The following is a 14,787-nucleotide window of genomic DNA, read 5'->3' as shown; positions in this document are numbered from 1 at the left end:
CCACTGCACTCCAGCCTGGGCAATAAGAGCGAAACTCTGTCTAAAATAAATAAATAAATAAATAAATAAATAAATAAATAAATAAAATAAATTTAAGAAAGAGGGTACAAAGATATACAGTTTTTTGATTATATATATTTTTAAATGTAAGGACCAACCACCAATTTTCTCTTAATGGTTACCCATAAGGGGAAGAGCAGGAACAGGATGGAGACTGGACAGAAGGTTTGCCTTCTCTGAATAGATTTTATTGTGTTTTGCTGATCTGAATTTGGAAATTTATAAACATTTTACATGATTATAAAATTAAATCAAAATTTTAAGAGGTAATTCTAAAAAACAACATATCAAAAGCAAAATGAAACAAATGATCCAAGTTGATGATCTAAAGTTGATGATCTAAAGAGAGAAAATCTGAATTTAATCAAGCTTCTAGATCTAACTACCAACTCACAGGAAATAAGAGGACACTGGAACATGTGAAACAATACTACATAATTCAGACTACAGGAAATTCTAGAAGACAATCTATTTAGTACAACAAATTACAAGGAATTTAATAAAGAAGAGGTAAAAGAGAACCTATAAAGGGTACTTAAGTTATCAAACATTACAGTACATGAATTGAATCAGATTCAAATAATCTGTAAAAAAATTAGGAGCCAATCTAGAAAATCTGAACACCGGGTATATGAGGATAAAAGAATTACTGGTAATTTGTTTAGCTGTGATAATAATTTTTTTAAGAAGAGAATATTTACATTTCAGAAATATGTGTGTCTGTATGCACACACACACACACACACACACACACACACACACAGTCAGCCTCCTATGTCCATGGGTTCAACTGACCTTGGAATGAAAATATTCCACACACAAAAAAAATTGCGTCTGTACTGAACATGTACATTTTTCTTGTTGTTATTCCTTAATACAGTATAACAGTTATTTACATGGCATTTACATTGTATTACGTATTATAAGTGATCTAGGGATGATTTAAATAATACGGGATGTACACAGGTTATATGCAAATAGTCCACCATTTTATATCAGGGACTTGAGCATCCATAGATGTTGGTATCCATAAGTGGTCCTAGAACCAATGCCCCACAGATACTGAGGGACACCTGTGCATGTGTGTAAAGATTGGTCACAATTTGGTAATTGTTGAAGCTGGTTTATGGGACACTGAAGTCAATTATAACATTTTATTTTCATATATATATTTTTGATTTCCACAATAAAAAATGTAGAAGTTAGTAATTACTTCTACAACTAATAATATCTCTTCCCTAACCAAGAAAATAAATAGCTAATTATTCCTCCATAATTCCTATAGCATTTATTGTCTCATGTCATCATTTGGTTGTCTTATATAACAATCCTTCCCACATTTGAGATCCCCCTCAAAAATTATTAAACATGCTGACTTGCTTGGGTGGATCTTTTCTTCAACCAGGAGATCTGCCTTTCTAACATATGAGAATTACAAGTCACTCCTACTGGGGATAATAAAAGAAAGGGAATCAAAAAGGAAAACAATAGAACATGCATAGTTTTTATAAAGAAGGCTTAGGAAAGAGTAAAGGAAGTAAAGGAAAAGAGGCTCAGACCTCAGAAATAAACTCCTACATCCCTCAGTAGAGAGAGCTGAAAGCCATATGTAATAGGCACTGAAAGCCTATGTTTTGGCATGAATTTACTACAGGCAAAGCCACCATCATATATCTATATGTACCGAGGAAGGCTAGACTGTTAAGTGTCACGTATATACGGTCTCAATGGAGCCTCAGGAAGCTATTAAACAACCTCAAATCACAAAATCAGAAAAGTGTTGAACATTTAGAGGAAGAATAGAAAGGAAAAAAAAGCCTCCAAGTTGTGTATTATTTGTCAGTAAAGCAAAACAAATGTGTAAGCCCACTTATATTTAATAATGTCTCACTGAAATTAAAGTAATAGGGGAGAGTCTGAAGTTTCCACAGATAAAGAGAGTGCTGTACTCAAATTTACTACAAAATTAATAATAGTAAATGTAAAATATGTATTTATACAGCCTTTTGCAGACTTATGAACTATCTCAAATTCACGAATCCTATTTTTTAAATACAGTTTTAAGTTTCAACCACTTGTATCACCAGAATTTTGAGACTTAACTCCCATGGTTAAGAGATTTCCAAGCTGTGTTCACACCTGTAGTCCCAGCTACACTGAAAGCTAAGGCGGGAGGACCACATGAGCCCAGGAGTTCCAGACTAGCCTTGCTCTATTTAAAGAGCAAGACTCCACTGCCAAAAAAAAAAAAGAAAAACAAAGAAGAGAATTCCATAAATTACTTGGCTTCTTATATTCCATCTCTTCAGTGAAACAGTACATCACTTAAGGCTAAAACTATGTCTTTTATCACTGTAAGTCCCCAGTACTGCTTACACCCTACACAGAGTAGGTGCTCAATAAATGTTTGATGATTTGGCAATTAATGGGATAGGAGGGAATATTAATATGTGTCAATAAATTACTCTGAATATTATAAATAGGCTTATGAGTATGGAAAAGACCCACCCTCAAGGAATTTGTGATCTTTTCTCTTACATCATACTGCTGTTTTCAATATGCCATAATTTTTCTTTTCTTCAGGGTGGGGTCAGGGAAACAACACAAAATAGCTGTGGATGCTGTTTAACAATCAGCATTTCATAAGCAGTTAAGAATTTCTGTACTTTCACAAAAATGAAAAAATCTCTCTAAAGATTATGTGAGCCCAATCTATGCCCAAATCTTTTTTTTTTTTTAATATAGAGAACTGATTATGTTCACTTGTAACCTGTCATTCCAAAATTCTTCAGGATGTTTAATGTTCAAGTGTCCATATTCCCAGTCCCACTGGATGCCTGGCAGGATGCAACCATCTGAATGAGTGGAAGTATAATGTTTGCACCAGGTATTATATTAGGAGCCTTGAACCCAGAATATGTCTGATTAAGTCTTTTAGCCCAATAATTTGCCACTGCTGCCAAGTCTGGTAATTTTGAAGGAGAAAGTTCAACCATAACGGGGTGATACAGGGCACCCCCGTACTCAAAAAACTTTCAAAGTGCTTTCTAAACAAGTTTCTCTTTCTCCTTGAATACAACGTCAGTCACAACTGATGGCAGTACAATCGATCCATCCATACACTGCTCTAAGAACATCTTGATGGTATAATATGCTGTCATTCATGCTCTACCTGCTACTAGTTTAATTTGGTCAAGTAGCTCTTTCCCTGGAGACTCAAATTCTACTAGACTCAAATTCTATTAGACCAAAGACAAATGATCTCAACCATGGTCTTCACTTAAACCAATCACTGGCCCTGCATTATAACTGAGCAACAAGTTGGCACAATCACCATGTGTTGGTTGCTGGAGAGCTATCATCAGGGTCTTGAATTGCTTCTGAACCTGGAGACTGCTGGCACGGATTCTGTCACTTGACCCCTACTACTATGCCAATGCCAATCAGTAGATCACAACAGTACAGTACAGATGATAGCTCCAAGAATGTAAATTGTGGATCCTTCCCTTTGTGGCTTTGGCCATACAGCATTTTAGTTTTGTTCTTTCCATTAACTGAAGTCATGAGGTATGCCTCCTTGGAAACTCCAACAGTTAAGAGATTCTCATGTATTCCATGAAATAAAAAGCAAAGAAAAATCAAACTTGTCTTAATGAGATGGAAGTGTTGGATCAAACACTGATTGAGCTGTTCTATGTCCTCCACTTCCCCAGTGCCTGGATGTGGTTCATCTGCATCGATGGATACTGTCCAAATTTGCCACTTGGCTCAAAAGACTGCTGCCCAGTGAATGGTAATGCAGATAGAGGCTCAGAGGTATCCATGGGTTCCTCCATGATGAACAATGGTCTTGATTGCTGAAGCGATTGTTTCTGATTGGTTCCTATGCCCAGATCTATTTATGAAAGGAATAATAATGATTAGAGAGTAACAGCACACTTAAATGGGCATCGGTATTGAACATATTGCTTATTAATTGGAAAAGGATTACAACATTATTGGATTAAGGAAACAAAATAGAGAACATATATTTGAATATTTGTAAGAGTGTATGAGTCAAGAACTTGATTTGGCTAAAATTTAAAAAACAAATGGTAAGAGCAAACAGTAGGTTTTCTCTACTTTCTCATCACCATCATTTACCAGTCATGATGCTGTTCAATTTCTTCAATGAATCCCACACCTAATTCATGTTTTTCCCAACCTATCCACATTTTCCCATCAACTTCAGCATCTCTGTATATTCTCTACTCCAAGTAGAAATCAGCAGAGAGCTCGTTTCAAAGGAAAGATAAGAAGCTTTCTTTTCAGTAGGTTAAATGTGAAACAGTAAGATACCCAAATGGAAATATTCAGTAAGGTGTAAATGGGGAACATGAAATCAACAAAACGGTTAAGAAAATGAGATGCCAATTTGATCACCATAAATACAGAAGTGATTAATGAAACTGGGTGTGATCTCAGGAAAAGGTAATTTAGAGAAAGAATAAGCTAAATGTTTATTCTGGCCTTCTATACAATGTTATGCCTAACCCTAGATCATTTTGTTTCTGTCATCTTGCTCAAAACTGCCAAGTACTACTGAATAAAAAGTTATGGAATCCTTCAAAGTGAGTTCATTATAAGTTCATTTTAATTTTGACAGAATACTACTTCTAAGCAATCCTTTATTCTCTTATTGTTGATTCATTAGAACGCAATGATTTCTAACTTATGAGCTTTCAGCCTCCTGGGAAGCTGTTAAATTAGTTATCTCAGTGGGTACCCAGGGCATTGCATTACATAAAGACAATTTCTCACATACATGTATTAACATTTTTCAAATGTGCAGTCCATGTTGTGGTTAATAAAATACAAAGTCATCTAAGAGAGAACTGAGTAGTAGCTTTTTTCTAATATGCATATTCTCCATTGATGAATACTAAAAATGTAACTACAATCATGGGGTGGTCCACAAATTGTTTCGAGGTTAAACAAGTTGTCATCTTCAAAATACTGGTAACAACTGCCTGAAAGTATTCCCCACAGCACAGACATCCTTTCCCCATTCTAAGCTTCCAATTATCCTCTGCCCTCTCCTACTTCTGCTTTCATTTTCCCAAATCAAACAAATCCTCATAGGTACTCTCATCTATCTCAACACATCTGAATTTCTCCTACTTCTGCTTCTCCTACTTCTGCTTTCATTTTCCCAAATCAAACAAATCCTCATAGGTACTCTCATCTATCTCAACACATCTGAATTTATTCTTTCTCCTCTACCTCTATAAATACTTGATGATTTTGCAATTACTGGTGTCTCTCTTCCCTTTTAGGAATAATTCAACAACACATACACCCGATCCTATCTCTAACCTGGCCCCCAACCAAAAACATCAAACAGGTTTAGTCTCTCCTGCTTCACAAGTTTCTTCCTTTCTACCTAAAAACATTATCAGATCTCACCTATATGGAAAAAAAATTTATTTGATTCTGCTTTATGTTTTAACTACTATTTATCTCTTCTTTTTGCTGTCAAGTTCTCAGGGTTAGCAAACTACAGTCTGAGCCAGCCACCTGTTTTTGTAAGTAAGGTTTTATTGACAATAGCCACCCTGATTTCTACAGGTATTATCTAAGGCTGCTTTCCCACAAGGGCAGAGTTGAGTAGTTAAGATATCATATGGCTTGGAAACCTAAAATATTTTCTATCTGGCTTCTTAAAAAAAAAAAATTTGCCAATCCCAGGGGCTCCAAGTATGATCTACATTCAGTGTCATAGTTTCCTGGGGAAGCAGGATGCCATTACAAATTTTGGAGCAATAAAGTACCATGAATAAAAGTGCATTTCAATACCAGTTTTAACAACAGCATATAGGGCAGACATAAAAGAAGACCACTTCCGAAACTAGTGCAAGAGATTGAGCATTAGGCACAAAGGGAGAAAAATGAAAAGAATGAACTTTTTGAAGGAATAAGCATTAAGACTAGATGACCACATTATTATAGAGACAAAGCTAGCAGCAAAATTTTAATCCTTGATGATGTAGCTTTCAAAATTTGCATTCTCTCCTATAGTCTACCCTATACGAACAGCTCTTCCTATTTTCCTCTTTCCGACTGTGAAGTTACTAAAATCCTAACACTAATTCCATATATTCTGTGTGCCAGGCATTTCCCATGCTTGCTATCTAACTCCCGGGTAAGCAAATCTTGTAGTAAGAGGCAGTACCAACAGAATTGGTTGAATGAGAGCACAGGGCCAAGGTCAGAGGTGGATGGAGTACTCACCTGTACCTCCCACCTTGGGAGGCTGAGGGAGGATAGCTTGAGCCCAAGTGTTCAAAGTTGACAGTGAGCTATGATCACGCCACTACACTCCAGCCTGGGTGACAGAACAAAACCCCAATTCCAAAAAAAAACCAAAAAAACCCTGATAAACCTGTTTATTCCTGTGCTTGTTATAAAACTGTGTATAAAATACAAACGTAATAAAGACCTAAAATTGAGAGAAAACTCCCAACTTTGGGAATAAATGCATAAAGTGAAACACTTAGTACTGTGAGCATATTAAATCCTTCTCAGCCTTCATCTTTTAAACTTGGCTCAAAATCACTTCCCACCAGATTAAATTAAATGCCCCTTTTATAGGCTTTCATAGCACTTTACATTTCAAAACACTCATCACATTTCTAATTATTTATTCAATGTAAATCTCCCAGAAGCACAGATCACAAACCACAGGAGGGGCAGGAACTATATACACTCTGCTAAACAATGAATCACCAAAGCCAAGCAGGGTAACTGGTATTTTGGGGGCCATCTATAAGTATCTGTTGAATTTATAAATGAATTATAACACCAGGCCATTTGTCCTTCAGCCCTGATAAATCTAGTATGTGCTTAAAATACAGAAATTATGATAGGATAAATTTCTCTGCTGTCTTTCAACTACTCCAAAGTCTTAGAAATTCTCATATCTACACAGTAGATGTTTCCATTAGGTACTGATGGACTACTGACTAAAATGAGAGCTCTGGAAAAATAAGCTTGTGTCCAAAAATCAAGGACAGCCCAGACAGCAATAACAATGCCAATTTATTCTTTTTTCCACTTGTAGCTATACACATAAAGTTAAAAATAGTTGTTTTCTTAGCCACTCAAATTTCTGCCCAAAATGTCAGGGTGTTGTGATGCTAGTTCTGGTAATAGAACCAGCTTAATCCCAAGAACCAAATGGACAAGAGCCAAAAATGTACTACATTCTTGCTGGAGTTTTTTGTTTTCCAGAAATAAATAAACCCACCTGTTAATGCTTTTCTTCTAAAAGGTATCATATACCTGTGCCCTTGTTGTACTGTCCTTCAGGTGGCTATGCTGTTATTGTCACACAAATTGAATGTGATTGTCTGAATAATGCTCATAGCATTCATCAGTTTATATTGAATTGTTAGCCTCAGAGGAATTCAAATAAAAGATGAATCCTTTCCTTTTTATTTAATAGGTAAATTAATTCTAAAAGAAGTCAAAGGAATTATGCTTCTTTCAAAATCCTCACTGGATCCATCCTGAGGATCCAGTGTGGACTTAAGATAAAACATAATTCCAGTGCAGCACAGAAAAAAATTAAAGAGCTAAATTACAGTTACAAATTTGTACTACTCTTGCAGCCATCCCAAAGGAAAGGGATTAAGAATAGAGCCATAGGCACACCTGTGAATGTATGCCAAAAATAAACTACAGAACCATAATAAAAACTGACTTCCCTGGGTCGAAGGATTTATCTCTTTCTCTAAAATGTAGAAAAATGAATTTAACAATTTAGCCCCTATGGCCTTTAAGAGGATTTTGTACCGTCTGTACTTGAAAATTGTGCTGGGCATAACCTGCTCTCTTATTTAGGTAGCTTATGTATGCCAGGGTTAAAGTCTGCCTGAGGCTGTTGTGGTTTATGTTACCGCTTTAATTACATTCAAATGAATTTAATAACTTTTTTAAAAAAGAGTATTCTCAGAGGACAATATATATGTTTTTTTACATACACACAAACAAACCCTTGACTCAGAAGGCTTTCTCAGCTTTTTGATCCCTGTACGTTGACTCCCAAGTATACTAACTAGATAACAAAATCAGATTATCTCATACAGACTACTCAATCTACCCACAGGAAACTGAAGTACAAAGAGATAGGAGGCCTATCCAAGGTTATGCAGCTGGTTAAGAACACAGCTAGAAGTGATTCACGTTTCTGTGATTCTCAGCCAACTGTCCACTAAAATTTTTAAATAAAATTTCCAAATAAGTAATTTCAAAGTAAAAAAACACCTTCCTTCATTGAAGTATTTGCATTGGTTCTAACACCTAAGTTTACCTCACAAATATCCATTTTACCTCCCAGCAGAGTTTAACAACTATGAATGAGACATTTTCGTTGGAAGAAAAACACACATTTGTCAGTTTATCATCCAAGAATCTCCCAAGTTAGTACTCAAAGACTTTATCAATCCCGTGACCAGAAAAGATATTTCTTATATAAGATCCTAAAATATCATGGAAATGGAAATGAAACTTATCTAAGAATCAAAATAGCTTAACAAATATAAAACAGCTATAGAATAACTGCAAAGGCTCTTCCCATTCAAAAGAGGGAGTAGTATTCATTGACTGAATTGTTTTAAACTAGACAACTTAAGGCTTATTTAAGCTTTCAGAATTTACTTTATGTTTTTTGAGATGGAGTTTCGCTCTTGTTGCCCAGGCTGCAGTGCAATGGCGCGATCTCGGCTCACCGCAACCTCTGCCTCCCGGGTTCAAGCAATTCTCCGGCTTCAGCCTCCCGAGTAACTGGGAGTACAGGCATGCGCCACCACGCCGGCTAATTTTTGTATATTTAGTAGAGACGGGGTTTCTCCATTTTGGTCAGGATGGTCTCGAACTCCTGACCTCAGGTGATCCGCCCGCCTCGGCCTCCCAAAGTGCTGAGATTTACAGGCGTCAGCCACCGCGCCCGGTCTTTAATCAATCTTTCTGGTCTCACAGCCTACCTACTGGTCATTCTGACCTTTTGCTCTTATTTACTTCCAAAGCACCTTTAGCCTCCCTAGATGTTCCTTCTTGACGACATAGGAATCTATCTCGGGCCGATTTAAATCAAATCCACAGCCTCATTTTCAGTCCAAATTTCACTGCAATATGCTGAACACACTTTACTTTCAACGTAAAATTTCTTTCTTACTATTAATGAGCTATCCTGATAGTGACAGGTGAAACACAATTGACTAAGGGGTTAAAATGTCCATTTTTCAAATGCCACGGCCACTCTGAATCAAATCTGAGATTGGAGTGGAGAAACCAAATGTGTAAAACAAAGGTCACAAAACAGAGGCAGAGCACAGTATTTCAGTGGGGGAAAAAAAATAAGCTAAATTTAGTCACATAAGTCCCAGCTCTTCTTGGGATATATATATGATTTTTATGAGAACTAATCCTATCCGGAAACATTTCCTTCACCTTTCCCTTAGCCCTTTTCCTTCGGTCATGCAGTCTCTTACCGTGCTAATTATCATATTAATATAATCCTCACTTGCGATCCTTCCTGACTTTATTCCCCATCCTCAGATTCTCTTGAAAGCATAATGCCTTCCTAAGTATACACACAATCCATTTAAAAGTCTTTGTATGCGACAGCCTAACTATTCAAACACGAAGTCATTTCTCTAACGGTCCTAGAAAAAATTTTTTAAAAGAAAAAGAAAACCACAAAGTCAAGAGCTTCTGAGGGGACCTGAAAAGTCATCAAATTGAACGCTCTCGTTTTATAGTTGGAGAAACTTATTCACTGAGCTAAAAGGGCCCTACTAATGGAGCCCCTAATTCAACTGTGTAATCTGATATAATCTTAAATTCAGCCTCAATAAGAGCTTTCTGGAATCGCCAGCGAGTCCGTGGGGGAGCCACGGCTAGAACCCAGGCCTCCTGATTCCCAGCCACAGCTTTTCCACCGAACCGGCAGCTCTTCCCAAAAGTTGAAGGCAACTGTCCGCTCACCGTCCAAGACTACTCGTTTTACATGAGGAAAGGGTCACAGCTCCCGAAATTTTGGATTCCACGGCGGCAGCTGCTGCTTCTGACAGCAGAGGCGGGAGGTGGCCCAGGACTACTCGGTCCTCAAAGACTGGACTCTCTCTCGGCGCGCCCGGACCTCCGCGCTTCACTGACTGGCTTCCCTAGAAGACTGGGGGCCTTGCGGGGAGATAAAAAGGGCAGACACGCCACCCCCACCGAGGCCCTGGACGCCCAGCCGCCCTAGAATCACGACCTTAGCCCTTGGAAAGCCAGGGAGATGCGGACCCCCTAGACCCGCAGCCCGGCCGCGTGGGGCGGCGCGCAGCTGAGGGACCAGGAGCTGCGCCCCACCACAAGTGAGGGGCGGACCGGAGACGCCGAGGTCGGCGAGGGGGCACGCGCTAGTTCCACAGCTCGGCTGGCGAGACGGAGGGTAGGCAGGGGTCCCAGGCCGCGGGTGACTCGGGGTCCGTCACATACATACTCACTGCCGTAGCTGCAAACAGAAAGCACCAAACAGGGACCAAAACGCGTAGAGGGACGGGGAGGGGCGAGGACAAATGAGGTAAGGAGGCCGCGTCCGCGCAGACCCGGGAGGAGAGAAGGCACTTCCGGGACAACACAGCCCTAGGCGTCGCCTTCTGTGTCCGCCCACCTGTCGCGCCTGGTATGCGCATGCGTACTAAGTGCGAACCTTTCTCTGCCCCGCCCATAATCTTTAGATTTGCCTTCCATGCTTTGCCCCTTCCCCTTCCCATCTTCTCTTGAAGTTACCTAGATTGCGTCTATTATTTGAATGACTCGTACAAAAGAGATGCTATTTATCGGGCAAAAGCCGGGAGTTCGTGCCCTCTACGCCCGCAAGGAAAACTACAACTCCCATGAGGACACGGGTGAGATTGAGGCCGGGCTCCGCCTCCTTCTCCCTGGAGCTTGGTGGACGCCTTCCCAGTGCCACGTGGCGGGGAGCTGATCTGATCGCGGGCGTGACGACGGCCCGCACGGCTAGCTGCTTGGCCCGCGGGCCTGGGCAGCCCTGGAGCGGGAAACGCCTCCGTGAGAACGCATGGCTTCAAGCTTCTCCCTTGCGCTCCTGATCTTAGGCTGATCGCTTTTACCTTTAGGTTGAAGTTGAACACAGTTCACACTGTGCTCTTCCTCCCCCTCTTTCTGGAATTCCAGGCAACAGATTTAACACTTTATGAATCTTGAAGAGCTGCACTCCTCCTAAATATTGCAGTTAATGCTGATCCTTTGGAAGCCTCCGAAGGCCACAAGGCTGTGATGGGAGCCTCTGGCTTCAGTTGCCTTTCTCACACCTTATTTTAATACTCAAGGTAAACCCTTCTGTACAACTTTAGAAATAACTGTCAACCTAAAGGAAAAACGGAGGCAAAGTTAATATAAATAGAGAATTTATTTGGGCCAAGTCTCAAGAATGCAAACTGGGAGCATCACTTCAAGTTACCCTTAATTTAATACATGATCTTAGCAGCAGTTTCAAGTGAGTTCTTTGTTTTGTTGGCCAGGAAGCTTGAACTCTTGTCTCAAAGGAATTGATCCTTCCATCTCTGCCTCCCAAAGTACTGGGATTACAGGTGTGGGCGACTGCACCCGGCTACAAGTGAATTTTTAAAGGAAAAAAAAAGAAGAGGCCCTTGCTAAATTGTATTCCAAGAATTTACATTAAAATAACAACCTATCCATTGGCTATACTTGTTCTTTCTATCACGGATTCTGGGAACACGAAGATAAAGGGTGATGCTTGTACAGGGCAGAAAAGAACAAAGTGCCTTTAAACAATTGCTAGTGTACATGGGGATGGTGCTAACTGACATCTCATACTCAGGTCTCTCTGGGTCTGATAAATTTTGAATGCCTGGCCGGGCTGGTGGGGTTGCTCACACTCGTAATCTCAGCATTTTGGGAGCCTAAGGGGGAAGGATCTCTTAAGGCCAAGAATTCGAAACCAGCCTCGGTAATATACCAACAGGCTATCTCTTAAAAAATTTTAAAAATTAGCCAGGCACGGTGATGCATCATGCAACCGTGCTCCATCCTGGGTGACAGACTGAGATCCTGTCTCAAAAAATAAGATAAAGAATAAATCTCCTTTTTATAAAATCTTTTTATAAAAATTAAATAAAAATTAAAATTTTTAAATAATTCAAATTTTAAATATTAGCTAGGTGTGATGGGGCACGCCTGTAGCTCTAGTTACTCAGGAGGCTGGGGCGGGAGGATTGCTTGAGCCTGGAAGTTCAAGGTCACTGTGAGCTGTGATTACACCACTGCACTCCAGCCTGGATAAGAGACCCCATAACTTTAATTAAAAAAAAATGGGGGACTGGGCACGGTGGCTCATGGCTGTAATCCCAGCACTTTGGGAGGGTGAGGTGGGAGGATCACTTGAGTCCAGGAGTTCAAGACCAGCCTGGGCAACATAGTGAGACCCCATCTCTATTTCTTAAATTAGTAAATACAAATACAAATAAATTGTTTTGTTCTGTGAGTTACCAGGAATGTAAAAAAGATTAAAATAAAATAAATTGTTGCATACTTTTAATATAGCGTAGACTGCTCTATTTTTCTCCTGTCATAATGAAACACTTTGCCAGTTCATTGGCCCCTCTAAATTCTCCTCAAGATAAGTGTGACTTTGATTTTTTTCACCAACATTTATTGAACATGGGTTAAGAGACGGGTGGTGTTAGAGAGTGCAGATAAGTACTACATTTTTAAGCGACTGGTCTCACAGAGCCAGGAGTTTGCCTGGGAAAACAGTTAAAGTCTAAGGGTTTGGCTAGAAAAGAATTAGAACATTAATTAACATTATGGTAAGTGCTGGGAAGGAGGACAGGGTACTATGAAAGGGTAAAATTGGAGAACCACTTTGCAGATAAGGAAAGAAGCATAGAAGCAGCTCACAGATTAATGATTGTTTGTTTAGGTAATGTGTATTGTGTAAAACAAATGTCACCTTTTAAAAAATATTCAGCTTTTATTAAGTGCCTGTATTACTCCTGTCTATCTATTATATATAATATTTTAAATTTCAACAACACTTTATGGGTTATATATATATATATATATATATATATATATATATATATTTTTTTTTTTTTTTTTTTTTTTTTGAGATGGAGTCTTGCTCTGTCACCCAGGCTGGAGTACAGTGGCGCTATAACATCTCACTGTAACCTACCTTCTAGTCAAGTGATGCTCCCACCTCAGCCTCTCAAGTAGCTGGGACTGCAAGCTCACACTACTATGACCTGCTACTTTTTCTTTTTCTTTTCATAGAGATGTGGTATCCCCGTGTTGCCCAGGCTGGTCTTGAACTTCTGCTCTCCTTGGCTCAAGCAATCCTCCTGCCTCTTCCTCCCAAAGTGCTGGGATTACAGGTGTGAGCCACAGAGCCTGGCCAACACTTTCAAGTTGATTTTTTTAAATTCTCATTTCACAAAAAAAAAAAAAAAAAAAAGAAAGAAAAAAAGGAACAGATGTAGAAAGACTAAGTAACACTTATAGAAGGCCATAAGCTTAGGACATATAGTCATGTGCTGCTTAATAACGTTCCAGTCAAAAACAGACTGCACATACTACAGTGGCCCCGTAAGGTTATTTTATCATATTTTTATTTTACCTTTTTCATGTTTAGATACACAAATACTTACCATTGTGTTACAATCACCTATAGCATTCAGTACAGTAACATGCAGTTTTCTAGCCTAGGAGCACTATGCTCTACCATATAGCCTAGATGTGTAGTTGACTATACCATCTAGGTTTCTGTAAATACACTCAATGTTTATACAACGATGAAGTTGGCTAATGACGCATTTCTCAGAACATATCCCAGTCTTTAATGACACATGACTGTACTCCTAATTACCATGTCCCGTCTTCCCACTGTCACACATGCATTCAACAAAGATTTCCTACTTTCCCATGCTCAGAATGCTTCAGCCTCCCCGTTTAGTTTATGTCTTCAAACCTAGAGTCCTTTGGATGGCATAAAAGGCACTTCATGAGCTGACATCTGCCTACCGTTGACACTGAATCCTGAGCAGTTGCCAGAACACACCATGCCCTCCCACACCTGTGCCTTTGCAGAGAACACTCCACTGCCTGTAAAGCCCTTCTCCCTGTCCTTCTAACATATACCCACTCACCCTACTCTGCGGCAGTTTTGGGTCTTCAGGGAAACTTTCCACCTCAGCCTCTCTCCACATACACAGCATTTCTCTTTCTAATTGAAGCTGTCTCTACTCCCCATTTCTCCTTTTTTTCTTTTCTTTTCTTTTCTTTTTTTTTTTTTTTTCGACACAGTATCTCACTCTGTCACTCAGGCTGGAGTGCAGTGGTGTAAACACAGCTCACTGGCACCTCAACCTCCTGGGCTCAAGAGATCTTCCCACCTGAGCCTCCCAGGAAGCTGGGACTACAGGCGTGCATCACCACACTGCACCTGGCTAATTTAAAACTATAAACATTTTGTAGAGATGGGATCTCGCCGTGTTAACCAGGCTGGTCTTGAATTCCTGTCTCAAGCAGTCCTCCCGCCTCAGTGTGAACCACAGTGCCCAGCCCCTACTTCTTGAAATCATGGGTGACAGCATGCACAAATATCCTGAAGTCTTTCTTACAGAGTATTTTCTAAAGAGACCAACATTTATTTGA

General features: G+C 39.5%; 1 pseudogene across 1 annotated transcript, besides 1 other annotated feature; it reads right to left on the bottom strand.

The window, feature by feature from the left end:
• Positions 1 to 221: 221 nt before the first annotated feature.
• On the bottom strand, positions 222 to 10,727 carry EBLN3P (endogenous Bornavirus like nucleoprotein 3, pseudogene; annotated as a pseudogene). The gene is made up of 2 exons (NR_036592.1): positions 10,087 to 10,727; positions 222 to 3,955 (listed from the first exon to the last, which is right to left on the bottom strand). The product of NR_036592.1 is annotated as an endogenous Bornavirus like nucleoprotein 3, pseudogene (transcript).
• Positions 10,543 to 11,022: an enhancer, noted in NCBI's record as "active region_28377". NCBI's record gives its function as "activates an Ori minimal core promoter by ATAC-STARR-seq in GM12878 lymphoblastoid cells {active_cell/tissue: GM12878}" and the evidence as "EXISTENCE:reporter gene assay evidence [ECO:0000049][PMID:35858748]".

This window comes from Homo sapiens, chromosome 9 (genome assembly GCF_000001405.40).
Source record: "Homo sapiens chromosome 9, GRCh38.p14 Primary Assembly".
NCBI lineage: Eukaryota > Metazoa > Chordata > Mammalia > Primates > Hominidae > Homo > Homo sapiens.
The sequence above is the reverse complement of the archived record's forward strand: the minus strand, read 5'-3'. Positions and strand labels throughout refer to the sequence as shown.